Source organism: Homo sapiens, chromosome 21 (assembly GCF_000001405.40).
Source record: "Homo sapiens chromosome 21, GRCh38.p14 Primary Assembly".
Lineage (NCBI taxonomy): Eukaryota > Metazoa > Chordata > Mammalia > Primates > Hominidae > Homo > Homo sapiens.
In genome coordinates this window covers 46433460-46461296 of record NC_000021.9, presented here as the reverse complement: position 1 = coordinate 46461296, position 27837 = coordinate 46433460, and the positions used below count along the sequence as shown (strand labels likewise).

At 50.2% G+C, this 27837-nt stretch overlaps 2 protein-coding genes and 1 long non-coding RNA gene across 33 annotated transcripts in view, besides 6 other annotated features; 1 reads left to right on the top strand and 2 right to left on the bottom strand.

Annotated features, from left to right (window-relative positions):
- DIP2A (disco interacting protein 2 homolog A) overlaps window positions 1–2406 on the bottom strand; it is a 124981-nt gene extending 122575 nt beyond the window's left edge. For all 30 annotated transcript variants that reach the window (XR_007067786.1, XR_007067785.1, XR_007067784.1 and 27 more), the window contains exon 1: window positions 2075–2406. Coding sequence is in view for 27 of the 30 variants with exons in the window: in NM_001353943.2 (NP_001340872.1) it covers window positions 2075–2165 (91 nt within the window). In the remaining 3 variants the exon portion in view is untranslated. The remainder of the gene's footprint in view (window positions 1–2074) is intronic.
- Window positions 1213–1282: an enhancer, noted in NCBI's record as "active region_18605". NCBI's record gives its function as "activates an Ori minimal core promoter by ATAC-STARR-seq in GM12878 lymphoblastoid cells {active_cell/tissue: GM12878}" and the evidence as "EXISTENCE:reporter gene assay evidence [ECO:0000049][PMID:35858748]".
- Window positions 2003–2072: a silencer, noted in NCBI's record as "silent region_13422". NCBI's record gives its function as "represses an Ori minimal core promoter by ATAC-STARR-seq in GM12878 lymphoblastoid cells {active_cell/tissue: GM12878}" and the evidence as "EXISTENCE:reporter gene assay evidence [ECO:0000049][PMID:35858748]".
- Window positions 2263–2812: a silencer, noted in NCBI's record as "silent region_13421". NCBI's record gives its function as "represses an Ori minimal core promoter by ATAC-STARR-seq in GM12878 lymphoblastoid cells {active_cell/tissue: GM12878}" and the evidence as "EXISTENCE:reporter gene assay evidence [ECO:0000049][PMID:35858748]".
- Window positions 2584–12886, top strand: LOC124905046 (uncharacterized). The gene is made up of 2 exons (XR_007067915.1): window positions 2584–2970; window positions 5379–12886. It is a non-coding gene; the product is annotated as an uncharacterized LOC124905046 (long non-coding RNA).
- Window positions 3053–3192: an enhancer, noted in NCBI's record as "active region_18604". NCBI's record gives its function as "activates an Ori minimal core promoter by ATAC-STARR-seq in GM12878 lymphoblastoid cells {active_cell/tissue: GM12878}" and the evidence as "EXISTENCE:reporter gene assay evidence [ECO:0000049][PMID:35858748]".
- Window positions 12134–12334: a silencer, noted in NCBI's record as "peak4431 fragment used in MPRA reporter construct". NCBI's record gives its function as "represses an SCP1 promoter by STARR-seq MPRAs in K562 erythroleukemia cells {active_cell/tissue: K562}" and the evidence as "EXISTENCE:reporter gene assay evidence [ECO:0000049][PMID:32103011]".
- The window catches only part of PCNT (pericentrin), a 121614-nt gene continuing 109304 nt past the window's right edge, over window positions 15528–27837 (bottom strand). For both annotated transcript variants that reach the window (NM_006031.6, NM_001315529.2), the window contains exons 39-47: window positions 25149–25393; window positions 24216–24318; window positions 22960–23133; window positions 21095–21214; window positions 20213–20442; window positions 18724–18800; window positions 17349–17487; window positions 16476–16603; window positions 15528–16013 (exon numbers count right to left, since the gene is read on the bottom strand). In NM_006031.6, the coding sequence (NP_006022.3) occupies window positions 15970–16013; window positions 16476–16603; window positions 17349–17487; window positions 18724–18800; window positions 20213–20442; window positions 21095–21214; window positions 22960–23133; window positions 24216–24318; window positions 25149–25393 (1260 nt within the window). In that variant the 3' untranslated portion in view covers window positions 15528–15969. The remainder of the gene's footprint in view (window positions 16014–16475; window positions 16604–17348; window positions 17488–18723; window positions 18801–20212; window positions 20443–21094; window positions 21215–22959; window positions 23134–24215; window positions 24319–25148; window positions 25394–27837) is intronic.
- Window positions 16845–17764: an enhancer, noted in NCBI's record as "H3K27ac-H3K4me1 hESC enhancer chr21:47863446-47864365 (GRCh37/hg19 assembly coordinates)". NCBI's record gives its function as "activates a minimal SCP1, AML or CMV promoter by ChIP-STARR-seq in naive and primed H9 embryonic stem cells {active_cell/tissue: H9 hESC(naive and primed)}" and the evidence as "EXISTENCE:reporter gene assay evidence [ECO:0000049][PMID:30033119]".

Below are 27837 nucleotides of genomic sequence, written 5' to 3'. Positions count from 1 at the left end.
TCCTTTTTTTTTTTTTTTTTTTTTTGGTGAGAAGAGACAGGTTCTCGCTCTGTTGCCCAGGCTGGAGTGCTCCAGTGCTCAGGTGATCCTCCTGCCTCAGCCTCCCAAGTAGCTGGGACTACAGGTGCACACCACCATGCCCAGCTAATTTTTTTTAATACTGTAGAGACAGAGTCTTGCTATGTTACCCAAGCTGTTCTGAACTCCCGTCTCCAAGCCAACGTGGCCTCCCAAAGTGTTGGGATTACAAGCATGAGCCACTGTGTACTCAGCCTGTACTTCCATTTTTAAAAATGTGCCACAAGCCAGGCACGGTGGCTCATGCCTGTAATCCCAGCACTTTGGGAGGCCGAGGCAGGCGGACCACCTGAGGTCAGGAGTTTGAGACCAGCCTGGTCAACATGGTGATACCTTGCCTCTACTAAAAATACGAAAATTAGCTGGGCGTGGTGGCAAGCCCCTGTAATCCCAGCTACTCGGGAGGCTGAGGCAGAAGAATCATTTCTACCTGGGAGGCAGAGGTTGCAGTGAGCCGAGATCACGCCATTGCACTCCAGCCTGGGCAACAGAGCAAGACTCCGTCTCAAAAAAAAAAAATGTGCCACATGTCACAACATTGTTAAAAATCTGAATGCTGAATTCAAAATAGTTGCAAGTACATGTTGTATTATATGTAAAACAAGATCACAACAGCATCTACCTCCCTAAGGTTGGCAAGGATTAAATGACTTACTGTATGCTAGTGCATATTATTTAGATGTTTTGAGAAATAACTACCCCAGACCCAGCAAAATCTTATCAATCTGAAACTTAAATTAAGGATAATAAGATTATTTAAAAAATGGATTCTAAAAGCTGAAAATGCATTTAGATCTCAAAAACAGAGTAAGAATCAATTACATGCTTTTCTTCAAGGACTGCAAGTCCTTTCTGACACTGGAGAAGAACTTAACTCTTTCCCAAAGACAGCCAAAAGGAATATCAGGACACAGGCCTTGAAAGGGATAACATCCAAATGGGAAATGCCACCCACCACCTCTGAAGCCAGATTACTCCAGTCTATTTTTATCAACCAACCATTTATACGACTTTTTTTTTTTACTTTAAAAAATTCCATGAGGGGGCTAACAACTCCTAAGTGTTATGTGCTTTGCATATATTAAGGTATTTTAGCCTCATAACAATCCAAAATGGAAAGTGCTGGTATAACCCCACTTTATAGATAATAAAATGAGGCACAGGGTGCAGCTCCTAGAGTATGAGGCGCGCGGCAAGGGCTCCCAGCTCCAAGGGAAGTAGCTGCCTGCGGACAACGGGCGCAGTCATCCTGGTGAAGCCCAGACCAAGCCCAGACCTACAGCCTTGAGAAAAGCGGGGCTCACAGCTTGGGGCAAAAGTGGTCATTCCTCTCAAGATTCTCACACCTGTCCAAACGACCTAGTCAAAGCCAGTCCTTGGGGTCGGATCCCATTGGGGGAGCAGCTGGGGATAGGGAAAGGTCTCCAGAAGTTTGGCAGGCGTCCCGGGGTGAGGAGTAAGGGTCCCAGGTGTGAAGGGCCTGGGGGGAGGAGTCCTTGTATGGGGGAGGGGTCCTTGTATGAGAGGCGGGGCAGTGGTCCCTGGTTTGAGGGGCCGCGCGGGTGTCCCGGGGCTGAGGGTCGGGAGTCCGGAGGGGCAGCGCGGGGCTCCCAGGGTGAAGGGCGGGGTCCCCGGGGTGAGGGGCCGCGCGGGGTTCCGGGGGTGAGGGGCAGGAGGTCCCGGGGGTGAGGGGCGGGAGTTCCCGGGGGTAAGGGGCCGGGGTCTCGGGGCGAGGGGTCGTGCTGGGGTCCCACATGAGGGGCGGGGTCCTAGGGTTGAGGAACGGTGTCTCCGGGGCGAGGGGCGGGTTCCAGGGTAGAGGAACCGGGGTCCCGTTGAGGGGCAGAGGTCCCAGGGGCGAGGCCGCGTGGGGGTCCCGGGGGTGAAGGGCGGGGGTCCTGGAGTGAGGGGCCGCGCGGGGGTCCCGGAGTGAGGGGCTGCGCGGGGGACCGGGCTGAGGGCGGGTCGCGGGGGTTGAGGGCGGGGTCCGGCTCACCTTCCGACAGCTCCAGCTCCAGCTCAGCCAGGCTCTCCCGCACCTCGGCAGGCAGCGGCGCCGCCTCCAGCGGGCACCCGCGGTCAGCCATGGCCAGGCCGGCTAGCGTCCGGGCAGAGGCTGGAACCGGACCGGGCCTGGCGGCGGCAGCGCAAACCTCGGCTACGTAGCTCCCCTCAGGCCAACAACCTACATCCGCCAGGCGAGGAGCGGGAGGCGGCGGGACAGGGGCGCGGCCAGGACAGCAACGCACCCGCGCGGGCACGAGCGCGGATGGCTCCGCCGCGCCGCCGCTGCCCCGCGCGCTCCTGAGCGCCCGGCCGGCCCTACACGGGAGCGCGTGCGCGGCGGGAAGGGCGGGTAGCGAGCGCGCGTGCGCAGTGGGTCTCGGGCCCGCGCAGCCCTCCCGGCCCCGCCCAGCAACACCAGAGCCTCGCTTCCATTGGCCCCGAAGACGCGTCGATGCCGCTCCGGGCTCCCATTGGGAGAGGCGGGAGAGCGCCGCTCCCGACAGGCTCTGCGCTGGGCCTGCTTGAGGGTGGCGGGCTTGAGGCGGGCAGGCTGCTTAGTTGCGGCCCGAGGCGCCTAAGTGGGGATGACCAACCCGTGGGCGTTGGCGCTGACCCCTAGGCGCCGCTGGTGGCCCCGCGCGCGGCCCTCCGGCCAGCCCCGCCCCTCTCGGGGCTCCTCCTTGGTCCCCGCGCCATGGCGCGTCCGCGTTGACCGCTGTCTTCCCTTTCGGGCTGTGCTGATCGCGAACGCTGCGCAGTCCGTGGTGGCGTCGAGGCACCTTTCTCGTGCCTTTACCTGTGTTCACTCCTTTGCTTTAAAAAACAGCCCTAGAAGTACACATCGTTGGCCCCGAAGGAGCCCCAGCAGCCATGTCGGACCGCGAGGTGACCTTGGAGGGCGGGAGGACGGACGAGGGGCCTGGCGGAGCTAGACTGAGAGGGCGCCGCCGGCGTCCTGAAGGCCCTGCTCCCCGAATGTGTGGGAGTGTGTCTGACGGTGCGAGGGTGGCTGTGGCGGGGCCTGAGCAGCGTGTCCGTGTCCCGATGCCGCCCGCCTGTTACTGAGTTAGGCAGGAGTGCCCGAGTCTGGCGAACTTCAGCAGTTCTCGTTCCAGAGCTCCACACGAGGTTGGCCAAAGCTTTGCGGGACTTACATACCCTTCTTCCTCCGCCCAGTCCTGCTTCCTTCCCCTTCCTTTCACGGGTGTTGATACCATGTCAACATCCTCGTACCCCAAACTCAGTCGCAGCGTCTGCTTCTGGAGAAACCATTCTGCAGCATTAAAGCTGGTGAGAAGATGGGATTCGAGGCTGCATCACTCACCAGTGGTGAAGTAGGAGGGTGAACTAGTGAAATGGAATCCACGAGTGGGTGAAGTATCAGACATTTCATATATGGTGAACGTAGTAGATAAAAGGAAGGAAAGGGGGATTGGATAGCTATTGCTTAGTGCCAACCGAGACTCTTAAGAATAGTGGTCAGCTGAAGGCAAGCAACAAACAGTTGTAAGCCAGTGAATCTGTCCCGTTACATATAGAGAAGCTTCATTTACTGCAGCAGGTCAAAGACAAGAACCAGGCCCAGGAATTAACATCCCTGTTTGACTGAACTCCAAAAATAGCAAAACACCCAAACAAGGCAATACTCTTCCACTAAGTTTGGATCCCTGCTAAGAAAAGATGAGGCTGGGCACAGTGGCTCACACCTGTAATCCCAGCACTTTGGGAGGCCAAGGCGGGAAGATTGCTTGAGTTCAGGAGTTCAAGACCAGCTTGGGCAACATGACAAAACCCCATCTCTACTGAAAACACAAAAAATTAGCCGGGCATGGTGGCCACGGCTGTGGTCCCAGCTGCTTGGGAGGCTAAGGTGGGTGGATCACCTGAGCCCTGGAAGTCAGGGCTGTAGTGAGCTGTGACTGCACTCCAGCCTGGGCAACAGGAGTGAGACTCTGTCTTTTAAAAAAAAAAAAGAAAGAAAAGAAAAGCCCGTCATACATGGGTTGGAGATACCTGGGTAGATGCCTTCAAAGGTTTTGACTCCCCAAACTGCCTTAAACCTTTTTTTCGTAGACAGTGTCTCACTCTGTTGCCCAGGCTGGAGTGCAGTTGCTGGATCATGGCCCACTGTAGCCTCAACTTCCTGGGCTCAAACGATCCTCCCACCTGAGCCTCCTAAGTAACTGGGACTACAGGTATGTGTCACCACACCTGGATACATTTTTTATTACTTGTAGAGGCAAGGTCTTGCTATGTTGCCCGGGCTTGTCTCAAACTTCTAGGCTCCAGTGAGCCATCACACCTGGCCTGCCTTGAACCTGAAGCCTGCCGGGGTGGCTCACCTCTCCTATTAACCTGACACTACTCCTCCTCCCTCCACTTACTGCTCAGTAGATGTATAATTATGGTTGTTTCTTTTGCATTATTCAGCTGGAAACAATGAGATAGAAAAGAGAATATAGCTCCCTCCCCCTCAGAAGAACTGCGTTATTAGTTTGCTGGGGCTTCAGTAACAAACTGGGCAGACATTTATTGTCTCCCAGTTCTGGAGGCTAGAAGTCTGAGATCAAAGTTTTCACAGGGTTGGTTCCTTCTGGGGCTGGGAGGGAGAATCTGTCTCATGCCTCTCTCCCAGCTTCTGGTGGTTTGCTGGCAGTCTTTGGTTCCTTGGCTTATAGAGGCATTGTCCCAGTCCTGCCTTTATATTCACATGGTGATCTTGTTGTGTGTGTCTCTCCAGACGAAGGCATAAGTAACATCATTGACAAAGGTCATTCGACATGGGCCTCTTTTTAGAAGGACACCAGTCATACTGATTAGGGCCCACTCTAATGAGCGCATCTTAACTTGTCTACAAAGACCCATTTCCAAATAATGTCACATTCACATTGACCAGGGGTTAGGGCTTCAGCATCTTTTGAGAGGGACACACTTCAGCCCATAACAAGCTGTACCACCCAGCCAACATGTACTGACAGGAGCTGGGAAAGTTTGGGGCTGGATTATGAGGGTGCTTGATGAAGGGAGCTGGAATGTAAACTTGCATAGATGTGTTTATTGAAATACGTGATTTAACACCTTGGCAAAGAGTGGCTGCAGACTTCCTGCAAGGATGGCTCCTAGAATGGCGGTATAGCTACTGCTGCCTAACAAATTACTCCACACTTCGTGGCTTAAAACAAGAATCATTTCTTATCTCTAGGTTACTGTGGGTCAGACATAGTGGGGATCGGTGATCTCTCTAGGTTACTGTGGGTCAGACATAGTGGGGATTGGTTATCTCTCTTCCACAGTGTCTGAGGCCTCAGCTGGAGCAGTTCAGAGGCTAGAGGTTGGAATGAGTGAAGGTTCATCTGCTCGAATGTCTGACAGCTGATACTGGAGATTGGCTGCAGCCCAGATTGGGGATGTCAGCCAGCACACCCCTACACGGCCGGTCCCTGTGGCCGAGGCTTTCTCACAATATGATGGCTGGATTCCAAGGGCAATCTAAAGACAAAGGACAAAAGAAAGCTGTATCCTTTTTGTGAACCAGCCTCAGAAGTTGCATACCATCACTTCGGCTACTTCCTATTTGGAAGAAATGAGTCACTAAATTACCCATATTCAAAAGGAGAGGAATTAGGCTTCATCTTCTAAAGGGAAGAATATCAAAAAATTTGCCAGTATATTTTTAAAACACCACACTTGGAAAAAGCCATGGGCCATGGTAAGCAAAATTGAAATGGCAAAATTGCTATGGCAGACAGTGGTGGAAGGGAGTAAAAGGTTCAGGGGTGTGGGCATGTTGAAATTTATATACTCCGTGCATCTAGAAGACATTTGAGACGATCATATTCCACATGAAGGTGTAAATAACACGTCATTTATAAAGATCATTAGACATAGGATGATGAAAGGGGCACTGATGTCACTAAAATATTCAGTGATGGCTCATCTCTGTAGGCAAGAATGACAATAGAAAGGCTGTTCCAGAACTTGGCTGGGTGATAGCACTGGGGATGATAGGATCCTAAGACAAAAGAGGCCATTCTGGGACATAGTGGGGACCAAAGAAAAAAACCCAAGAAGCCAAAGGCAACACTTAGCTGGCAGAAGTCAGAGGATTGCAATTATAGCAGCCAGCAGGGTCTGAGTGGCAGCCAAGGGGACCTCACTTGTATGGTTATAGAACTGGTCAATAAACATGGCATCCCTGGAGGCAAAACAGGTGGGCAGCTAAGAAGGGTACTACTCAGCTGGCAAAAAAAAAAAAAAAAAAAAAAATCCATCCAGGCACGGTGGCCTGTGCCTGTAATCTCAGCATTTGGGGAAGCTAAGGTGGGAGGATCACTTGAGCCCAGGAGTTCAAGATTACAGTGAGCTGTGGTTGCACCACTGCACTCCAGCCCGGGCAATGTGGCAAGACTGTCTCAATTGAAAAAAATAAATAAAGATGCTTGTCCCAGTTTTAAAAAATCAGGATTCCATGCCCAGCTTCTGGAACTGAGCCAGTTTTCAGAAATGGAAACATTACTTGAGAGGTGGCCAAACACCAGGAAGAAGGACCTATAACAGTACAAGTACAACAGAAATGAATCCCCAGGTACTTTTCCAAAGGGTCTGATAGCAATTTCTTTTGATAACTACATCCTGGAGAAAAGTGATTAGCCAAACATTTGGAAGACTTGTGGACACAGGGTCTAAATTGATGTCCAGATGCCTAGAATATCATCCCCTTCTGTTAGAGTGGCTGCATGTGGTGGCCAGGTAATTGATGGAGTTCTGCTAAAGGTCCAGCTTACAGTGGACCCGTAGACCTAGTGGACTGATCTAGTGATATTTTCTTAGCCTTCGAGTGAGTAATTGGCATTGACATACTTGGCAGTGAATGCTCATTCCAGGTCCCTGACCTATAGAGTTAGATAACAAAATGGAAAAAGCCAAACAGAAACCTGAAACTGCCCCATCCCCTACCAAGATTATAAAACAATTATCCCAGAGCGGGAATGGCAGAGATAAGTGCCACTTCTAAGGATCCAAGTGATGTAAAGTGGTGGTTACCAACATTTTTAATTTACCAGCATGACCCCTGCAGAAGTCACAAGGATCCTGGAGAATGGCAGCCTACTCTATTTGCTGTCAACCAGTAGTTGTTTTGGGTACACTGCTGCAAACTCATCTAAGAAGTATCCCTGGCCGGGCACAGTGGCTCACGCCTGTAATCCCAGCACTTTGGGAGGATAAGGTGGGCGGAACACGAGGTCAGGAGTTCAGTCTGGCCAACATAGTGAAACCCTGTCTCTACTAAAAATACAAAAAATTAGCTGGGTGTGGTGGTGTGCACCTGTAATCCCAGCTACTTGGGAGGCTGAGGCAGGAGAATCCCATGAACCTGGGAGGTGGAGGTTGCAGTGAGCCGAGATCATGCCATTGCACTCCAGCCCAGGTGACAGTGTGAGACTCTATCTCAAAAAAAAAAAAAAAAAGTATCCGTAATAGCCTCTCTGCCAGATATGGTAGGTAGTTGTTGACTAGGTGGATTTGTTCTTTTCTGTACCTATCAGGGATCAAAAACATTTTGCATTTGCATGGAATTAAAATGCAGTTTTGCCGGAAGGTTATGTTACTTCTCTTGCTCTCTGTCGTAATCCAAAGAGATCTGGACCACCTAGACATCCTGTAGAATATTACATTGTTCCTTTACATCAGTGACATGTTGATCAGCCAGATGAGAAGTGCAGAAGATCCTGGAGACAGCTGCTCCAGAGAGTGGCATATAAACCCTACAGGAATCCAGGAGCCTGCTACAATCCTAACATTTTTAGGGCTCCAGTGGTCAGGGGTGCTCTAGGGCATCCCTTCCAAAAGCGAATGAATTATTGCTGCTTGCACCTCCTGCCGTTAAGAAAGCAAGACGCTTGTTGGTTCTCGAGCTAGTTCTTGCCTCAGGTTCTGGAGGCAGCATGTCCCACACCTGGGAGTATTGCTCTGGTCCAGAGACTAGTGGAATTGGGAGATTTCCAATTTTGGAAAGAGCCCAGAACTGGAAACGTCTGTACAGTAGATCCGGGTTGTGATGAAGTAATGCTATTGCCTGGGCCATATAGTCCAACAGGTGTTTTTTTGGTGTTATTAATGGTGCAGAATGATGCAATGTAGAGATTCTGTCATGCCACCTGGAGCAGAGAATTGTATGCATTTGGGGGGCGGGCGGGTGTAGATCTGTCTTCTGGTATGCCACTTGTCTCTGACAGAGATGGAACGCCTGACCGTAAGCCACCAGGTGACCATGCAACCAGAACTGCCTGTTAATGTTAAACTAGCAAAAGTCATAACATCAGTTGGGGCCAGCAACGGTCCCTCATAATATGGAAGTAGTATATTCAAGGTTGAGCATGAGAATGTACAGAGGTTACCAAATGAGCTGCAGAGCACAGATGCACATGACTTCCAGAACTGTTGGATCAGCCACAATGTCATTTCACACCTGTGACAGTGTGAGGGGGCCCTTATAGCCAGTTGACAGGAGTAAAAATCGTGAGCATGGTGTATAAATGGGTTGGCTCAGTATGAGTTCAAAATGAAAATAGCAGCTACATTACAGCCTTCTCAGGGGTGACCTTGAAAAATGGTGATAAGGGCATATCCTCTCAATAGGCAGAATTTCAGGCAGAGCTCCTGGTCGTCCACTTTTTTGTGGAAGAAGTAGCCCAAGGTGAGAATATACATGGAGCCATGGGCAATGCTAGAGGGCCTGGGTAACTGGTTAAGGGCCTGGAAGGAAAACAATCGGAAGTTGGAGATAAGGAGGTGTGTGGTAGATTTATGTGGTCAGATAAATTGGAATAGCACGAAGTACAATGTTCTTTGTATACAATGTTAATGCCCACCAGAGAGCATCCATGAAAGAAGCATTATACAACCAAGTAGACAGTTGACTCAGCCAGTTGATATTGGACAGCATCTTTTATTGGCTACTGTACTACTGGCATGATGGGCACATGGACAAGGTAGCCAAGGTGATGGACGCTGTTCATGGGCCTGACAGCAACCCATGCTCTCTACCCAGCTTTGGTTAATATCTAGCTGCCCCTGAATATCTAACCTGCCAGCAAAAGAGATCTACCCGGCTTTGGTTAATATCTAGCTGCCCCTAAATATCTAACCTGCCAGCAAAAGAGACCAGTGCTATACTCCCATTGTGGGTCACTTCATCAAGGAGCACAAACATCCAGGTTTACAGAGGTCTTTAGACATAGTCCCCATTTTATAAGGAGAGTTTACTGTATTGGAACTCTCCCATCCTGGAAGGGCTGGTGGTTCACTTTTCACAAGAATAGTCTCATATTCCAGATACGAGGCTTGTCTTTTCCTACTCACAAGTGTCAGCCAGAAAGGCTTAAGGAGTGTTTGTTTCACTGACATAAGCACACAACATTTCAAACGAGATTCACTTTATAGCCAAGGAAGTGTAGTGTCCATGGGCCCTCCTGCCTGGCAGAGCGCTGAGACAGCATGCTAAAGGCACAGCCTCCCAAAGGCATGAGCCACTGAGCCCGGCACTGAAGACTTCCTTGAAACCGTTCTTTGCAATCTTTCTGTTATTGACCAGCTGGACAGTGCGTAACTGCATGGGAATGCTTGCAGATCAGTAAATTCAGACACCTTCCTTTCCACATAAGATGGACCACCAGCTGTACCCTCCCAAGTTTTGCCAGCTGGAAATCTTCAAAAATCCAACCCTAAACTAGGTTGTAGTGTAGCAACCATCTTTTTGTTTGTTTTTTGAGACGGAGTCTCACTCGGTCTTCCAGGCTGGAGTGCAGTGGCGCGATCTCAGCTCACTGCAACCTCTGCCTCCCGGGTTCAAGCGATTCCCCTGCCTCCGCCTCCCGAGTAGCTGGGACTACAGGCACACGCCACCATGCCCGGCTAATTTTGTGTCTTTTAGTAGAGATGGGATTTCACCACGGTGGTCAGGATAGTCTCAATCTCCTGACCTCATGATCCGCCTGCCTTAGCCTCCCAAAGTGCTGGGATTTCAGGTGTGAGTCACTAGTGTAGCAACTATTTATGGTTCATGCCACCATACCGTATGGATCCGTTGGTAGAACAAACCTGTATTTTTTCGTCTTCTGTCAACTGGTCCTAGGGAGCGTCCCGTGAAACCACAGATGTAGACTGAGGGGTGTGAAGTAGAAGAGGCGGCAGCATGTGTTTGGTCACTCACTTGGGTCACATACTTATGCCTTCTGAATCTGTTCAGGCATAGTTTTGTGTATATTATTTCCAGTTTCAGTGGAATGCTGTTTATGTCCAGTTTAATGATTTGTGTATAGGCTGTCCTCCTATGGTATGCCTCATGCTTCTGTGGGCTGTATTGGGATCAGAGTCTTGGGGGTCTGCAAGCAAGGTGGTATTGTTGGGTTTTGAGAATCAGCATCTCTCTGTGAGGCACTGTATTTGTTCTCACACTGCTATAAAGAAATGCCTGAGGCCAGGTGTGGTGGCTGAGGCCTGTAATCCCAGCACTTTGGGAGGCCAAAGCCGGTGGATCACCTGAGGTCAGGAGTTCGAGACCAGCCTGACCAATATGGTGAAACTCTGTCTCTACTAAAAGTACAAAAATTAGTCGGGCCTGGTGGCGTGCACCTGTAGTCTCAGCTACTCAGGAGGCTGAGACAGGATAATTGCTTGAACCCGGGAGGCGGAGGTTGCAGTGAGCCAAGATTGTGCCATTTAAGCCTGGGTGACAGAGCAAGTCTCCATCTAAAAAAAAAAAATGCCTGAGACTGGATAATTTATAAAGAAAAGAGGTATATTTGGCTCACGGTTCTGCAGGCTGTACAGTAAGCATAGTGGCTTTTCCTTTGGGGAGGCCTCAGGAAGCTTCCAATCATGGCAGAAGACAAAGGGGGAGCAAGGCACTTCACATGGCTGTATTAGGAGGCAGAGAGAGGATGGAGGTGCCACACACTTGAACAACCAGATCTCGTGAGAACTCATTCACTGTCTGAGGACAGCACCCAGGTGTTAAACCATTCACGAGGAACTGTCCCCATGATCCAGTAACCTCCCACCAGGTCCCACCTCCAACATTAGGGATTAGAATTCAGCATGAGATTGGGCAGACACACAGATCCAAACCATATCAGGCATCCATCCCAGGTGCAGTCATTAAAAGTTTTCTATTCAGGCTTTTGAGGTGATTGTGGTGGGGCCCCTTCAAGGTGGGGGCTGGACACCAGAGGACCCAACCACATGATTGGAGGATTAGGATTTTCAGCCCCACCCTCAAACCTCTGGAGAGGGGAGGGGGTTGGAGTTTAAGTTCAATCATGTGATCAATAATCCAATCCATCATGACTATGTAATGAGGCCTTGATAAAAACTCTTAGCCAATGAGGCTTACAGAGGTTCTGGGTTGTGCTGTGTTGCGGGAAGTCAGGGACCCCAAACCGAGGGACCGGCTGGAGCCGCGGCAGAGGGACATAAATTGTGAAGATTTCATGGACGTTTATCACTTCCTAGTAATACTCTTATAATTTCTTATGCCTGTCTAATCTCAATCCTGTTATCTTCGTAAGCTGAGGATGTATGTCACCTCAGGTCCACTGTGATGATTGCATTAACTGTACAAATCGATTGTAAAACGTGCATTTGACGAGGCCAGGAGATCAAGACCATCCTGGCTAACACAGTGAAAACCCGTCTCTACTAAAAATACAAAAAATCAGCCGGGTGTGGTGGCAGGCACCTGTAGTCCCAGCTACTCGGGAGGCTGAGGAAGGAGAATGGCATGAACCTGGGAGATGGAGCTTGCAGTGAGCTGAGATGGCGCCACTGCACTCCAGCCTGGGCGACAGAGTGAGACTCCATCTCAAAAAACAAACAAACCAAAAAAAAAAAAAAACGTGTGTTTGAACAATAATGAAATCAGTGCACCTTGAAAATGAACAGAACAGCGATTTTAGGGAACAAGGGAAGACAACCATAAGGTCTGACTGCCTGTGGGTTCGGGCAAAAAGAGCCATATTTTTCTTCTTGCAGAGAGCCTATAAACGGACGTGCAAGTAGGAGAGATATCGCTAAATTCTTTTCCTAACAAGGAATATTAAGACCCTAGGAAAATAATTGCATTCCTTGGGGGAGGTCTATAAATGCTTGCTCTGGGAGTGTCTGTCTTACGCAGTTGAGATAAAGACTGAAATACGCCCTGGTCTCCTGCAGTACCCTCAGGATTGTTAGGGTGGGGGAAAAAACCACTCCCTGGTAAATCTGAGGTCAGACTGGTTCTCTGCTCTTGAACCCTGTTTTCTGTTGTTTAAGATGTTTATCAAGACAATACATGCACAGCTGAACATAGACCCTTACCAGGAGTTTTTGATTTTGCCCTTTGCCTTGTGATCTTTATTGGCCTCAGAAGCACGTAATCTTTGTTCTCCCTTTTGCCCTTTGAAGCATGTGATCTTTGTGACCTACTCCCTGTTCGTACACCCCCTCCCCTTTTGAAGTCCTTAATAAAAACCTGCTGGTTGTGCGGCTCAGGTGGGCATCACGGTCCTACCACTATGTGATGTCACCCCTGGCAGCCCAGCTCTAAACTTCCTCTTTGTACTCTATTTCTCAGACTGGCCGACACTTAGGGAAAATAGAAAGAACCTACGTTGAAATATTGGGGATGGGTTCCCCCGATAGTGCTGGGAGGGCAGCACGCCTGCAGTGGACACAGAAGCTCTGAGCCCCATACCTGTCCTGCTCACCTCTTCCATTTGGCTGTTCCTTTGTTGTACCCTGTATAATAAACTGGTAATCCCAAGAATAGTACTTTGCATCATTCTAGTAAATTATTAAACCTACAGGGGTGGGGCTGAAAACCCCACAAACTTATAAATTGGCTGGGCAGAATTGCGGGTAGCCTGGAAACACCACTTGTGGCTGACGTCTGACGTGGAGACTGAGTCCTTAGCTTTTAGGGTCTGTGCTGACTCCAGGTAGTACCAGAATTGAAGGACTTTAGGCCAGGCACTGTGGTTCACGCCTGTAATCCCAGCACTTTGGGAGGCCAAGATAGGATCACTTGAGCCCAGGAATTCGAGACCAGCCTGGGCAACAGGGAGACCCCCCATCTCTACAAAAATAAATTAATTAAAAATGGAAGGACTTTGTCCTTAACTTGTGGGAACTGTGTCCATTCTGACTCTAGGTAGTGTCAGAATGGAACTGTAGGACAGGCAGCTCGTGTTAGAAAAGGAGACAAGCCTCCAGCAGGTCAGGGAGGCGGCAGCAGGCAGCATGAACGGTAGCCCAGGCTCCCATGCAGTTCTCCAGCTCTGCTGTCCCCCTGCATCTATCCATTCCTATTCTGCATATGAATTTGCTTTTCCCGCCCAACACTCATTTGCAGACTTCCCAAATTCCTAATTCATCATCGCTTCTAACCAGAAAACTCTTCTGAGAGCAAGTGTGGCTCTAAGCATGTGGTTGTACGATGCCCTCATCTTACCCCAAACTCCTATCAGTCAGAAGTAGCTTGCTTAGTGGATGGTGGAAAGGCCTCCCGAAGGCTCAGTTATGATGCCAGATTGGAGACAATGCCCTGTCAATATGGATGTTATAATACAGGATGTGGTATAGGCTTTAACTGAACAATACCTAGTGCTACTTCTCCCACAGCCAGCATATGCTGGCTTGGAAACCTAAGGGCTGCAGATAGGAATGGCCCCTCTTACTGTTATGCCAAGTAACCCCAGAAGGAATTTTTGCTTCTCATCTTGTAACTCTGAACTCCACTGTCCCAAGGGAGGACTGCTTCTACCAGGTACGACAATGGTGGTATTTTGAACTTTGAACTAGCAGTTGAGACTGCTGCCTGAGCCAACACCCAGGGATGGAGTTACTGCACTAACTGGTGCTATTGATCCCAATTTTTGAGGGAAACTGGGTGGCTCATACACAATGAAAACAGGAACATCCTTATCTGCAATCTAGTGTCTTCACTGGCACCTTTTGGTACCGAGGACTTTCGGCTCAGTGCAGCCTCCGCCTCCTGGGTTCAAGTGATCCTCCTGCCTCAGCCTCCCGAGTAGCTGGGATTACAGGGGCCTGCCACCACACCCGGCTAATTTTTGTATTTTTAGTAGAGACCGGGTTTTGCCATGTTGGTTAGGCTGGTCTCAAACTCCTGACCTTGTGATCTGGCCACCTCGACCTCCCAAAGTGCTGGGATTACAGGTGTGAGCCACCACACCCGGCTGACAGCTTCTTGGCTTCAAGCTAGAACAGGCTCCTCACATTCATGTCCCATTGTCTTTGATGAAACGAGGGCAGTTAACTGTAGAATAGCCCATGTTCATCTTTTTCCTCATGGTTTCATTTATTTTTCCTTCAATAAACTATAAGTTAGGGCTGGACACAGTGTCTTGAGCCTGTATTCCCAGCACTTTGGGAGGCCAAGGCAGGAGGATCACTTGAAGCTAGGGGTTCAAGACCAGTGTGGGCAACAGAGTGAAACTCCATCTCTACTTAAAAAAAAAAAAAAACAAAAAACAACTAGCTCAATGTGGCAGTGCGTGCCTGTACTCCCAGCTACTCGGGAGGCAGAGACAGTAGGATTGCTTGAGCCAGGAGCTTGAAACCAGGCCGGGAAACAAAGTGAAACCTTGTCTCTAAAAGAAATACGAAAATTAGTGCCAGGCGTGGTGGTGCGCACCTGTAGTCCCAACTACTCGGGAGGCTAAGCAGGCGGATCATTTGGGCTTGGTAGGTCAAGGCTGCAGTGAGTTGTGATTGTGCCACTGTACTCCAGCCTGGGTGACAGAGCGAGACCTTGTCTCTAAAAATAAAAAAATTATACCCATCTAGTACATTTTTGGATAAAGGGTCCTTGGCTAGGTATTACTGTCTAGTCTAAGCGAGTATGAGTGAAACATAAAAAAGCACAGCCAGCCGGGCGTGGTGGCTCACACCTGTAATCCCAACACTTTGGGAGGCCGAGGAGGATGGATCATTTGAGGTCAGGAATTCAAACCAGCCTGGCCAACATGGTGAAACTCTGTCTCTACTAAAAATACAAAAATTAGCTGGGCCTGGTGGTGGGCGCCTGTAATCCCAGCTACTCAGGAGGCTGAGGCAGGAGAGTTGCTTGAGCCCAGGAGGCGGCGGTTGCAGTGAGCCGAGATTGCACCATTGCACTCCAGCCTGGGTGACAGAGGGAGACTCCCATCTCAAAAACAAAAAGCATGGCCATGAGAGGTGGATACATAGTGGCAGCATCTTTAAAAAAATAAGAAACCAAGTAAGAGTAAACAACAGTCAAGTGGCTATTCAAGAATGCTCCGGGTTCCACTGAAAATTTTTGACTTACGAGTTTAACATAAACTCTCTGCTCAATTTTTTAGTCAGTGAGAAAGGCAAACTGATAAAATGGATAAAATGGAAAAAAAAAACAACACAAGGGCTATTCACAAACAAAACAGTGATTAAATTTTATTCCTTTTTGAGTTGTTTTGTTTTTATTTTTAAATGAAGTTTCCATCTGTACACGTTAAGAAAATAAACAAAACAACAGGAAGCCATTCTCTGTGTATCCTCCTTGGAGGCAGGAAGGATGGATCTGCCGATAGGCACACAACAGCACACAGCCAGGGCTCATGGGAGTGAGTGCCCGTCACCTCACGAAGGTCATGGGCCTAAAACATACGGAGGCTCCATAGAAAATGCTCCAGCTGGCTTTGCAGTCATGCATAAAGGTGAGGACACTTAATTCAAGGCATCTGGGGGCTGGTGTCACCGCACATGAAGAGTAGTGCCCATGCTGTCCCACGAGCTTCCTTGGGAAAAGGGAAAAACAAATCTTTTCCTCAAATAGAATTGTCGCAGGAAAGAGCCATGACATTTTATTCACTGTTTAATCATCGGGTGGCAGGATTTCTTTGAAGTAGAATCTGCATATAAATAAAAATGAGGCAGCAAATTGGTTACAAGGCTTCACAGATTTTTTGAAAAGAATTCCACAATTTTGAAACACTATCACTGAATTCATGTAAATTTTGGTAAAAATATGAATTATACAGTGGTTTAAATTATGATATTTAAGAAACACTGAACAAATTATATCCTGGTCGAAATATAATCTTTATGTTCGCTATCAATGTAAGAGAAAGGACAAAAAAGTCCAGACGGTGATTAAGTCAAACTGACCTCAGCACGTATCACTGAGTACACTGGCTTAGACTTCTGTGAGATTCTTCACTTGTAGCCTCTATTCTAATACTATTAGTGACACTGATTGTTCAGACTGAAACTTTGGTTACTAAGCTGAATACCAGCCATCTTTCAACAGACCCTACGTTTCCAGGGTACAGTGATAATCAGCTTAATAAATACTCGGCGAGGACTTGCATTACCTGGTAGTACCCCTCCCAATCTTTGCTGGATCACTTCTAAATGGTGAATATACTCTGTCAAGGAATGTTCTGGATCTTGAGAAGCAGTCAGGGATCTTTCTAATCTTGAATTTGGGGATGGAGTGGCTCTTCAAACAAATTACCACACCAAGAGAAGAAAAAAAAAAAAAAAAAGAGTTGAGTTTGACAGACGGAGCCATGGTGACTGAGTGCAGAAGAAAGGCACCAGCCCCGCCAACCAGACCCGTGGGGATGGGTGACTCTGGGGCCGTTTCCTTCAGATCCCTCATTACAAAAAGTGTCACAGAGTGCTTTAAAAGCTTCTGTGCAATGTTCCAGAGTTGAGTATATTACTTTGCTTGCTACATCTTCGACGATGTATCTATTACCCAACCTGGATTCTGCACCAGGTCTCACCTGCCTTTCCTGATCTTCCCAAACTGTTTGTCAGGGTGATACCTGCCCCACTCAGTCCTCACCTCAGCTGTCCTTCCTCCTAGCCTTCCGCCAGGCCCAGGGAGCACCAGGGGTATCCCTTTTCCCTCTCCACCCAGAGCTTCCAAGTATCTTCACGGCAGGGAACATGCCTTCTTCACCAAGGCACATCCCTCACAAAAGGAGCCCTCGGCCACCATTTACTCTTTCACTAAAGATGGCAGCACCGGGCTCTCGGGCACCAGAGACACCAGAAAAGCCAGGTCCTCCCCCAGAACAGGGCGGGACTTCTTGGCCCTCACGGACTCACGCTGGAGAGTTTCCTGCCTTGCCCTGGGCTGGGCCAAAGCCAGAACTAAAAATGCATTTCTCTGAGGCCCTATGTAGGCTGGAGGGAGAGCCCTGGCAGGAGACGGGGCCTGAAGGCATCACACTGACCTTCCCCCACTGTGTGGGGAGGCTGCTGCTGCCAGTCTGCGGCCTCTGGCAGGGTCCCTGGTGTGGCCAGAGGGTACATCCCGGGTTGGGGGGGACTCTCTGGTTCTGGGTGGAGACTGCGGCTGTCGTGCTCGGGGCCCTTCCCCAGAATTATTTAACAACCAAGGGATTAGGAAAATAAATGAATGCATTTTAGTAAAGGCCCATCTATCAACAGTTTAAACGTATAAGCTTTTAAGAGCCTGTATGGCAATTTTAAGACATTTTTAAAGTGCTCAAGGTACAATATCTTTTTAAAAGCTTTGGAAGAAACCTGAGCTTTGACTATCTGCATCTGCAGGGGTAGCCCGTCTCCGGGGGAGTGCGGGGCAGGGGGGTCTCAAGACCTGGGTGGGGGTCCTGCCTCTATCCGCTCTGAGGAGCTGGCTCAGGAGGGAGGGGCAGGAACCCTGGAGACCACCAGGTGTGACTCAGAGGGGCAAACTTTCCTGATGGCTTGAAGGCTGAATCAAAGCATTTTAATTTCAAGAAGCAACTATTAAAATGTGGAGTCAACACTGATACAGCTGCCAGGCGCAGTGCTCATGCCCACAGTCCCAGGTACTGGGGAGGCTGACACAGGAGGATGGCTTGAGCCCACGAGTTCAAGGCTGCAGTGAGCTGTGACTGTGCCATTGCACTCGAGCCTGGATGATAGAGCAAGCCCGTCTCTTAAAAAACAACAAAACAACAACAACAACTTGGTAAGGCACTTCCAGGAATGCCGAGTCATGGTGCCAGTCGGCGGTGGTTCAGGCAGCCTAAGCCCCACAGGCCCGGAGCCACACACCCACCCCGCGTTCTCTGTGCTGCGTGGGAGGGGCGTTCTCTGCACACAACGCCTGCCGCTCTGGGACAAGAGCCCCTGGAAATGCCCTGCTCTGGGGCTGGCTCCTTCAGCACTAGTGCAGCCAGCTGTGCTCTCTGCTGTAGGGGGCAATGGCTCGGCAGAGAACTCCCGAGACAAAGATGTGAGTGAGCCAGAAATAAGCATGATGCTCTACAAGGAAAGAGACGTGAAGTGAGTTTCAGTTGATTTAAGGAATAAAAAAAGACCATTTTGCTAAACACTATTAAATAATCAATATATTGAGCATCTCAGTGTTTCCCATCGCCGTACGCCCCTGTGACCTGTGTTCATAGCTAACATGAGCTCTGACCTCCCTACGCCGGGCGCGCCTTCCCTCTGGACGACTGCTCTGACGGAATTCACGGATTTTCTTACCGTGCTTTATTACGTCCCCATCAACACTGAAAAATGACCCAAAGTGAATGAAAAACAAGAGTAGAAAGAAAGGTTTGTGAGTCCAGCGGTCAACAGCAGCTGGAGTCCCACCTGGGCGAGGGGCTTTGCCTTGTGCCAGAGCTCCTTTCCGATCTACTTCTTGCCATTTCTTAACCAAAAAACGTAATCTACAAAAAAAAGAGACAAGACACACTTAAAAGTACGGCAAGACAGGAAGGGAAAGAGCAATGAAAACCCCACTGTGACCAAACAAGCAGAATGGGGGCCTCGCTGCCCATGGGGACCAGGACGCCAAGGTCGGCCAGTCTGTTGACTCGGGCCTGGCATGCCGGGTGCACACATCCAAAGTGCTCGCAGGGCTGCCGGCGGCGGCGACCTTCCCATGCCCAACCACCTGACAAAGCCTCACTGCGGCCCCACCGTGGACCATATGGTCCCCTAGACACCCACCATGGCCCAGCTCAGGACGACTCCAGTTCAAAGTCAGCCGGCCACACCAGTGACTAGGAAACACATGCCGCTCCCGCCTGGTGTGCAGGACCCTCCCATCTTCATCCTGTCACAGATGCCACTGGACAGGCTCAGAACACGGAGACCCCAGCCCTCGCAGGAGTCCGTCAGATGGTGAGCATGCAGAGTGCAGGTGACGAGGGCATGCAGGTCAGTGTGCAGGGCCCCAGACGCCCTGCTAGGATGGCCTTCGGAACAAGCATCATGCCTGTGGCTTCCCTCCTTTGAGGCATAGCAGACACTGCCGATTCCTCCATAAGACCTGTCAAGGCCCCTTGGTGGCAGCTACCCTAGGCAGTGCCCTCACAGGGACACAGAGACTGCTCCTTTCTGGGACACCACTGCCTTCAAAAGATCTCCCCTCCTCGACAGGAGGTAGGATCTGGGTCTGCTTACCTCCCCTATCTAGTGCCTAAAATGCTTCCTCCTGCAGGGTGTTCTCCCCATGAACACAGGATGGACAGATGGGTGGGTGGAAGGATGGACGGTGGAGGCCTACGGTCAGGGGAGCTCAGAGACGAGGAGACAAAGTGCCCCAGGACCAGAGAAGCTGAGAGTACAGCAACCCAGGAGGCCTCGCCTGCACCCCACTTTGGCCCAGCCTGCAGCCGCGATGACTGAACTGGCTCGGCACCTGGTCTCTGAAAGGAGCGGGATTCCTAGCTGCTCTCTGCTGCATCTGCTACTCCAGACAGGCCCGCGCGTGGCCTTGGGAAACACCTCTGTGGCATCAGGGAGCAGGCACAGCCGCACAGTGTTTAGGGGGAAAAACAGTTTTAGAAATTCAGCACGTTCTTTGTGGCACGAAACCCATTAAAAGTCAAGATGTTCCTCTGTAATACAAAGGTGCCCTTAAATCTTTAGTTTTAGAAGGTGAGAGATTCATACACATGACTTCTTGAAGACAAGTTCATCATCTGTATTTTCTCTAAGGCCTCAAATGCCATTCATCTTTAAAAAGAACATATTATGGAGTTTCAAGGAATAAAATGACCAAAAAACCATGCAGTGTGCTGCCCACTCACGGAGACAGACGCGGAACGCACTGACTGAACGTCATGGCATTTACCTTAATATTGCAATGACCACCCTGACGGCCGTGCGGAACCTGGTGAAAGGACGAGATGTGATTTTCCGTTCTGCTTTGGAAGGAAATACCCCCAAATGGGCAATCATGGAGAGTGTTTCTTGTTCAGAATCCTGGAATCCACCAATCAACAGCAAAAGATACTTCTTTTGATAAATCAGAGCTTTTCTAAAGCTCTCTGCTCTCAAGTAATGCAGGTACAATTTTTCCATCTAAAAGAAAAAAAGCAGTAAAATTTTATCATAGGAAACAAAGACTGTCTTGCTGACAAAAGCACATTAACACCATTGCTCTTTCCAAAGAGTCAGATTGTTTTTTCCCATCAAATCATCACAGAGCCATCGGCCTTCCAACAGTATCTGTGGCCAGAAACAACCTTGCTGTTGGAAGATCAATTTGTGTTTGTCAGACAAGATCTAGGACCACAAGCTCCTCTCCACAGCATCATCAAATGAGCCCCTATGAAGCTTCTTGCATTTCACCCCTTAGGTAAGGTCCAAACTGGGCATGAGATGGACGTCACGGGGTGGGGACCGTGTGCCATCAGGAGACTGCAGCAGATCTTGGGCCGAATCCCGGCAAGCCCCTGGGCCAGGCCTCCCTCAGGCTGCAGAGGCCGCCATTTGCTGACTTTGTCAAAGCCTTCCACGTTCCACGCTTAACAAGCACAGAAACTCAGTATTTGTGCACAATTAAAACAAAATTCAAGCCGAAGTTTATTCTGTGAACGTCCTTTCCTTTAGTGATGTGACTGCTACACCCGGCAGACGAGAACCTTGTGGTCACAAAAATGCTTTGCCTGCAATTTGCAAACCCAGGACTTAAAAAAGCACCAAAGTTCTATACTCGTGGCACCGTTCCTACCTTGACATTGCTGGTGTGTGCTTCCTCGCTGGCAGCTGGTGGAAGCCGGCCGGGGTCTGGGCGCCTCAGGGAACTCTGTGGAGCCGTTTCGTCTGGCTTCCAAGCAGACCTTTCCGACCTCTGTAAGGAAGCACAGCCAGCGCTGTCTACAGAGCTGCTCGTCAACAAGAGCATCTTAGAGACGCAGCCGGGGGCAGGTGAGGGAGAAGGCCATGTGCGGGGAGGCCAGGCTGACCACACCACACCTGGCCCCTCCTCAACTTCAGCACCCCCTCAGCAGGGCCTAGGTTACGCCGTGCTGTGATCAGCCAAAGAATTAACATGGAGTAATTACGACATGCCACTTGCTGAAGTATGATTGCAAAAAAGGTACATTTTAACAGAAACAGAAAACCAATTCTTTGTAAAATCACCCCAAATTCAAAGCTTTAAGCCTTAAACACTCTCATATTCTCCGGTCCTAGAAATGCCAACCACTGGTAACTACAAGCACAGTCAACTCTCGACAGCTGTGGGTTCCACATCCATGGATTCAACCAACTGTGGGTGAAAAATATTCAGAAAAAACGATGTGTCTGTACCAAACGTGTGCTTCTTTTCTTGCCCCTACACCCTAAACAATACAGGATGACAACTATTTACGTGGCATTTACACTGAATGAGGTGCTGCAAGTGATCTTAGAGATGACTTAAGAGTGTACGGGAGGACGTGCACAGGTTGCTGCTGACACCACTGCAGGTCAGGAGGCTGAGGCAGGAGGATCCCTGAACCTGGGAGGTCAAGGCTGAAGTGAGCTGTGACTGCTCCACTGCACTCCAGCCTGGGAGATGCAGCAAGGCCCTGTCTCAGAAAAAAAACCCAAAAAGTGAAAAAAGCCAGTTTAGGAGGTCCCAGACGGGCTGGTTCCACTGACACACCTTTCTGGGAGAGAGCCAGGGCCTGTGGCAGGCGGAGATGCCTGCTGCTCTTTTTGGGGGGGCCATCGCTGTGTGCTCTGTGAATGGTGGTTACTTATGAAGGTTACAGGGATGTGTGTGTGTGTGAACTTGTATGACACTACACCAGGAAAGGGCAAATTTTACTGTATGTAAATTTAAAAATAATTTTTAAAAAGTTATAAAAAATAAAGCAAATCACAAACAAAATAGCCTAAATACAAAAGAAAAAAAAATGAGACATTCCGGAAGATAACTCTATCCAACTATACCATTATGAAAATTATAAGTCACTTTAGGCCGGGCACGGTGGCTCATGTCTGTAATCCCAGCACTTTGGGAGGCTGAGGTGGGCGGAATCACGTCAGGATTTTGAGACCAGCCTGGCCAACATGGCAAAACCCCATCTCTACTAAAAATATAAAAATTAGCCATGTGTGGTGGCGGGCACTTGTAATCTCAGCTACTTGGGAGGCTGACACAGGAGAATTGCTTGAACCTGGGAGGTGGAGGTTGCAGTGAGCTGAGATCGCACCACTGCACTCTAGCCTGGGCAACAGAGCAAGACTCGGTCTCAAAAAAAAAAAAAAAAAAAAATTATAAATCACTTTAACTAAAACTCTAAATTAGATCAGATTATAATATTCTTAGTCAAAATACCCTTTTATGAACATGCACCAAACATCAAGTAGCGGTCAGGGTCAGTGAGGACGCCGTCTGTGGCGGAGCTGGAAGTCGGCTGAGATGTTCAAACATCCCACAACATTTAGCAAGGCTTCAGACAGAGGCAACAGAGCCTGGCGGTTAGGGAGAAGGTGACGCCCACATCCCCAGGTCCCTAAAGGGAGCCCGGCCTCTTGTGGGGTGGAGCTGCTCTGGACCATGGTGGGTTAGGCTGAGGCAGGTAAGAGTTAAGCACAGACACCTACGCTTGGGCTGCAGCCCTTCTGCAGATGGTGCTTCAGCAACTTCTCAAGCTTAGACACGGCTCTGCTCAGCTCCAGCTTCTCCTGGGTCACCGTGCTGAGCGCTTTTGTGAGGGAAACATTGTCTTTCAGCAGGACGTCCACAAACTGGAACTGCAGCTCTGCTGCCATTTTTTTCTTGGAGAAAAGAAAATAAATTTGTAAGAATTTGTTGTTAAAGGGCATGAACATTACTTGTGTTTTTTGTCAACAGTTATTTTTAGGGATTGTAATTAATGTGTCTGGGGTTCAATGAGAAGCTTGTGGAGCTGGCAGAAAATTGTAAAAGTCATTGAATCACAGACTTTGCACGCAACTGGCTTGTATGAACAACGCAGGCCTGTCACAAAGCATAGCCCGTTTGGTTGTTCTAACAGCACTGAAATTAACAGGTGGCTGGACCGTTGTTAGTTCATCCCAAGGGGGCGGATGTGAAGCCCCTCAAAACAGGTTTATTACTTCCACCATCAAAAGGACGTTCAGCCTGTGGAGGGTGGGCACGCTGAAAGGTCACCAGGGCCCAACACAGGGGGCAGGGTGCACCCCACCCACAACGACGTTCAGCTGGCGGGGCCAGAGGGTAAGCGGCGCAGCTCCCCTGCACCTCACATGCGTGGGCTCCACGATCAAAGTCATGATTTCATAAATGCCACAGAACACACATCAAGAATTTATACCAGCAGCCAGATTCCCACCTCCTTCAGAGGCAGCTTACAGTGAGCTCAGACTTTCCAAGGAGGACTTGGGTTTTTGTTTCTAGCAAAGGCCGTCAACGCAAACACAAAGCCAGCAGGCTGGGCCAGGTGGAGGTGAACATCGGCCGCCAGCACCAGAGCAGAACCATAGCCCCTCCTGACCAGCGACCTGCAATGTGTCCAGGTCATGCACAGCGAGCAGCATGTGAGGGGGCTCTACCAGTCACGCAGCATCCCATGGCAGCAGGGCTCAGCCCCCGAAGACCACACAGTCACACAGCATCCCATGGCAGCAGGGCTCAGCCCCCGAAGACCACACAAGTGCCCCAGGACATGGAGGACATCCGTCCCCACTCGGCCCACAGGGTCGACCCCACCCACTCACCCAGATAGCAACCATGAATTCAGAGAAGGCAGCGAGGGAGGAAGAACAATGGGGAAGCGTGAAAAAGAACCACAAAGCTGCCGAGAGGGCCCCTCTGGGGGAGGAGCCAGGCCAGGGACCTGGGGGCGCTCACCCCTTACCTGGGAGGAGGTGGGCCTGCTCAAGTCAGACTTCAGCTCCTCCAACGTGTGCAGTAAAGACATCACTGCTTTCTCATTGGATGACGTCCAATCATTAACTGTCCTGTAAAAATAAATGGGCACTCAAAGTTGCATACGCGCCCCAAGTGACCATTATGCAAAACTAAACAAGAGCTCACGGCTCAAGAGAGACAAGACAGGTTTCTGAGGAGCCTGTGTGTGAATCACTTCGTCCAGCCGTGAGGCAGAGCCAGGGGCCCACGGGGGCAACAGGCCTGTGGCTGGACGCTTCTGCAGAGCTCAGAAACCTCCAGCCGGGAGGCGCGCCACCGAGCACGGGAAGCCACCGCCTGCCAGGCCCCGTGGCTTTCCTCTGGAATGAATGATTTAAAATGCTGTCCTAAGTGAAACTTTGCTTAGAAATCATGCTGCTCTATACATTAAGTCCAAGTATAGAAAGGAGAACTGTGTTTGCCGAGTTTCTGTGTATAGGGAAAAAGACAAACATTAGCATTACCCTTTCTGCCCATATGAAATATCACGATCGTCATCCTGGGTGTGAGTGGCCTTGAGTGACACTGGGCAGTGCCAGCGGGGGGGGGGGGGGGGGGCCACAGGAGGCTCCAAACCCGACCCTGTGGGTGGTGAGCAACTACACAGAGTGTAAAGAGAACCAAGCCAACCCTCAAAGGAACATGGAAGCCCCACGTCAGGCGTATTTTGAATCACAGGATTTTTTTCTCTGACATTAGAATATGAACATGCCATCTTGCCAATCCGGAATCCCTCAGCAAAGTCTCAGAAAGAGGACTAGAGCGTTAAGTGCAAAGGAGCAGGGGCCTCACACCAGACGCGCCCCAGCCCTCGGGCCGGGTCTGGGACAGAGGGGTGGCTGCAAGGGACCAGTGAGCGCCAGGTGGCGTGGGTGCACACCTGTCCACGGCCTGGCTGGTGAAGCTGGTGAGAAGCCGGGCGGCAGAGAGCAGCCGCTGCCTCATCGCCTCCAGCTCTCGCTGCTGTTCCCGGAGGTGGTCCGCATCCGAGCCGGCAGCCCTGCGGGCAGAACCTAGGTGGAGGCGGCTGCCAGGCACCTCGTCCTTCGACTCCAGGTCTCTCACTGTCTGCTGAAGCTGCTTGATCTTATGCAAGTCACGCTGACGCTGCAGTTCTAATTCTCGCTGTTGTTAACAGAAAAAAGACAGAGAAGACGTTCACGTCAGTGTCCAAAAACAAAACTGCCGGCCGGGCGCGGTGGTTCATGCCTGTAATCCTAGCACTTTGGGAGGCCGAGGCGGGCAGATCATGAGGTCAGGAGATTGAGACCATGCTGGCCAACACAGTGAAACCCCACCTCTACTAAAAATACAAAAAATTAGCCGGGCGTGGTGGCGGGCGCCTGTAGTCCCAGCTACTCGAGAGGATGAGGCAGGAGAATGGCGTGAACCCGGGAGGCAGAGCTTGCAGTGAGCCGAGATTGCGCCACTGCACTTCAGCCTGGACAACAGAGTGAGACTCCATCTCAAACAAAACAAAACAAAACAAAACACAAAACTGCCAGCAGGGTGTGGTGGCTCACGCCTGTAATCCCAGCACTTTGGGAGACTGCAGCAAGCGGATCACCTGAGGTCAGGAGTTCGAGACCAGTCTGGCCAACATGAGGAAACCCCGTCTCTACTAAAAATATAAAAATTAGCTGGGCGTGGTGGTGCGCACCTGTAATCCCAGCTACTCGGGAGGCTGAGGCAGGAGAATCACTTGAACCTAGAAGGTAGAGGTTACAGTGAGCTGAGATTGCGCCACTGCACTCCAGCCTGGCGACAGAGTGAGACTCCATCTACCAAAAAAAACCAAACCAAAACAAAAAAAACAACAACTGCCAAGCAAAAGCCCAAAACACACAGCCGCGTTACAGGGGAGGCCCCTCACAGACCAGAAACAGGCCCTCGGGCAGGCAGCCCCTGTGGTCCTGTACTGGGACCCACAGCTGACACACTGCACACCCTCGTGCTGTGCTGCTCTGTGTCCCTCCAGCATGGAGGCAGCTGAATCACACACCCCAGAATGATTCAGTGGTAAAAGCGTTTCCATCGTAGTTTTTAAAACTATCAGGCTTTCATCAGGCCCAGGGCAAGCACGCGGGGTCCAAAGGAGAGGAGCCTGAGAAGCTGAAACAGAACAGACCGGATGACGCTTCCCTGTGCCCTGGTCCCACTCATCCACATATGTACACGCACACGCCCAGACGCTCATACCAACATAGACACAGACAGGCACATTTGTGCATGTGAACATGCACACACGTATGAGCCTGAGTGCAGCCCTGGGGCTGAGCCTGGGTGGCCACGTGGGCCTGAGCTCCTAAGCCAGACCTCAAGGAGCAGCAGCCTTTCCTTCTGCAGGACGGGGGCACAGGCCATGTCTGGTGCCCGGGAGAAGCGTGTCAGCAAGCGCCTGAGCCCCTGCCCAGGGCCCGACTCCCACCAGGCAGGGGACAGAAGGTCTACTGCACGATGGGGCAAGGAAGGACGAAGCAGCCTCTGAAGGGCCTCTGATTCCCAGCAGCGCCGCTGGGGCTTCCTTGTGACAACACAAAGACAGATCCAGCGGGAAGAGGCCCAAGATGCAGACACACAGAGGCGGCTTGCCGTGTCAGGGAGGGAACCCCAGCACTGAGCTGAGGCCTTCCCAGCCCAGAGGACCCACAGCTGAGCCTGCACTGTGTGGCACCAGCGCCCCTGCCACTGCGGTGACCAGGGTGCAGCTCAGACTCTACCCTCCTGACAGCGCCTCACTCAATGCTCGGGCCTCTTAAACAGGAATGAGTATCTTTTCTATTTTCTAGTAAGGAAAGTAAGATACAGAGGAACTAATGAGATTGTATTATTTAGAAAAGATGGAATTGTATCCAGCATGCCACTATCTTGGGAGGCTTCCATGGCTACAGCTAGAGAAGGGTTCTATAATCCAGATCAAATTCACTATCCTCAGTAAAAAACACTCTGGAGGCCGGGCACAGTGGCTCACGCCTGTAATCCAGCACTTTGGGAGGCCAAGGTGGGCGGATCAATCACAAGGTCAGGAGTTCAAGACCAGCCTGACCAATGTGGTAAAACCCCGTCTCTACTAAAAATACAAAAATTAGCTGGGCTGGGCGTGGTGACATGCACCTGTAATCCCAGCTACTCAGGAGGCTGAGGCAGGAGAATCACTTGAACCCGGGAGGTGGAGGTTGCAGTGAGCCAAGATCGTGCCATTGCACTCCAGCTTGGAAGACAGAGCGAGACTCTACCTCAAAAAAAAAATTAATAAATAAATCACTCTGGAAGGGCCACCTCACTCAAAATACAGGTCAAGATGCATCCTGAAGCAAGCAACTTAGAAAATATTTTCTAAGCACTCATGTTACTATTTTTTTTAAGAAACAATCAAAATTAAAGGTTTTGGCTGGCAACTTCAGGCGTGGTTTCAGGAAGTTCTCAAAAAGTAAAGACTCCTTTGAGCATTCCATCAAAGGATGAGCTCTTGCCCAGGAGAAAGGCAAACACACACACCACGTCTCACCCTCAGCTGGGGTCCTGTGTAGACGCCCCTGCCATGCTTGGCCACACTGTCTGTACCACCA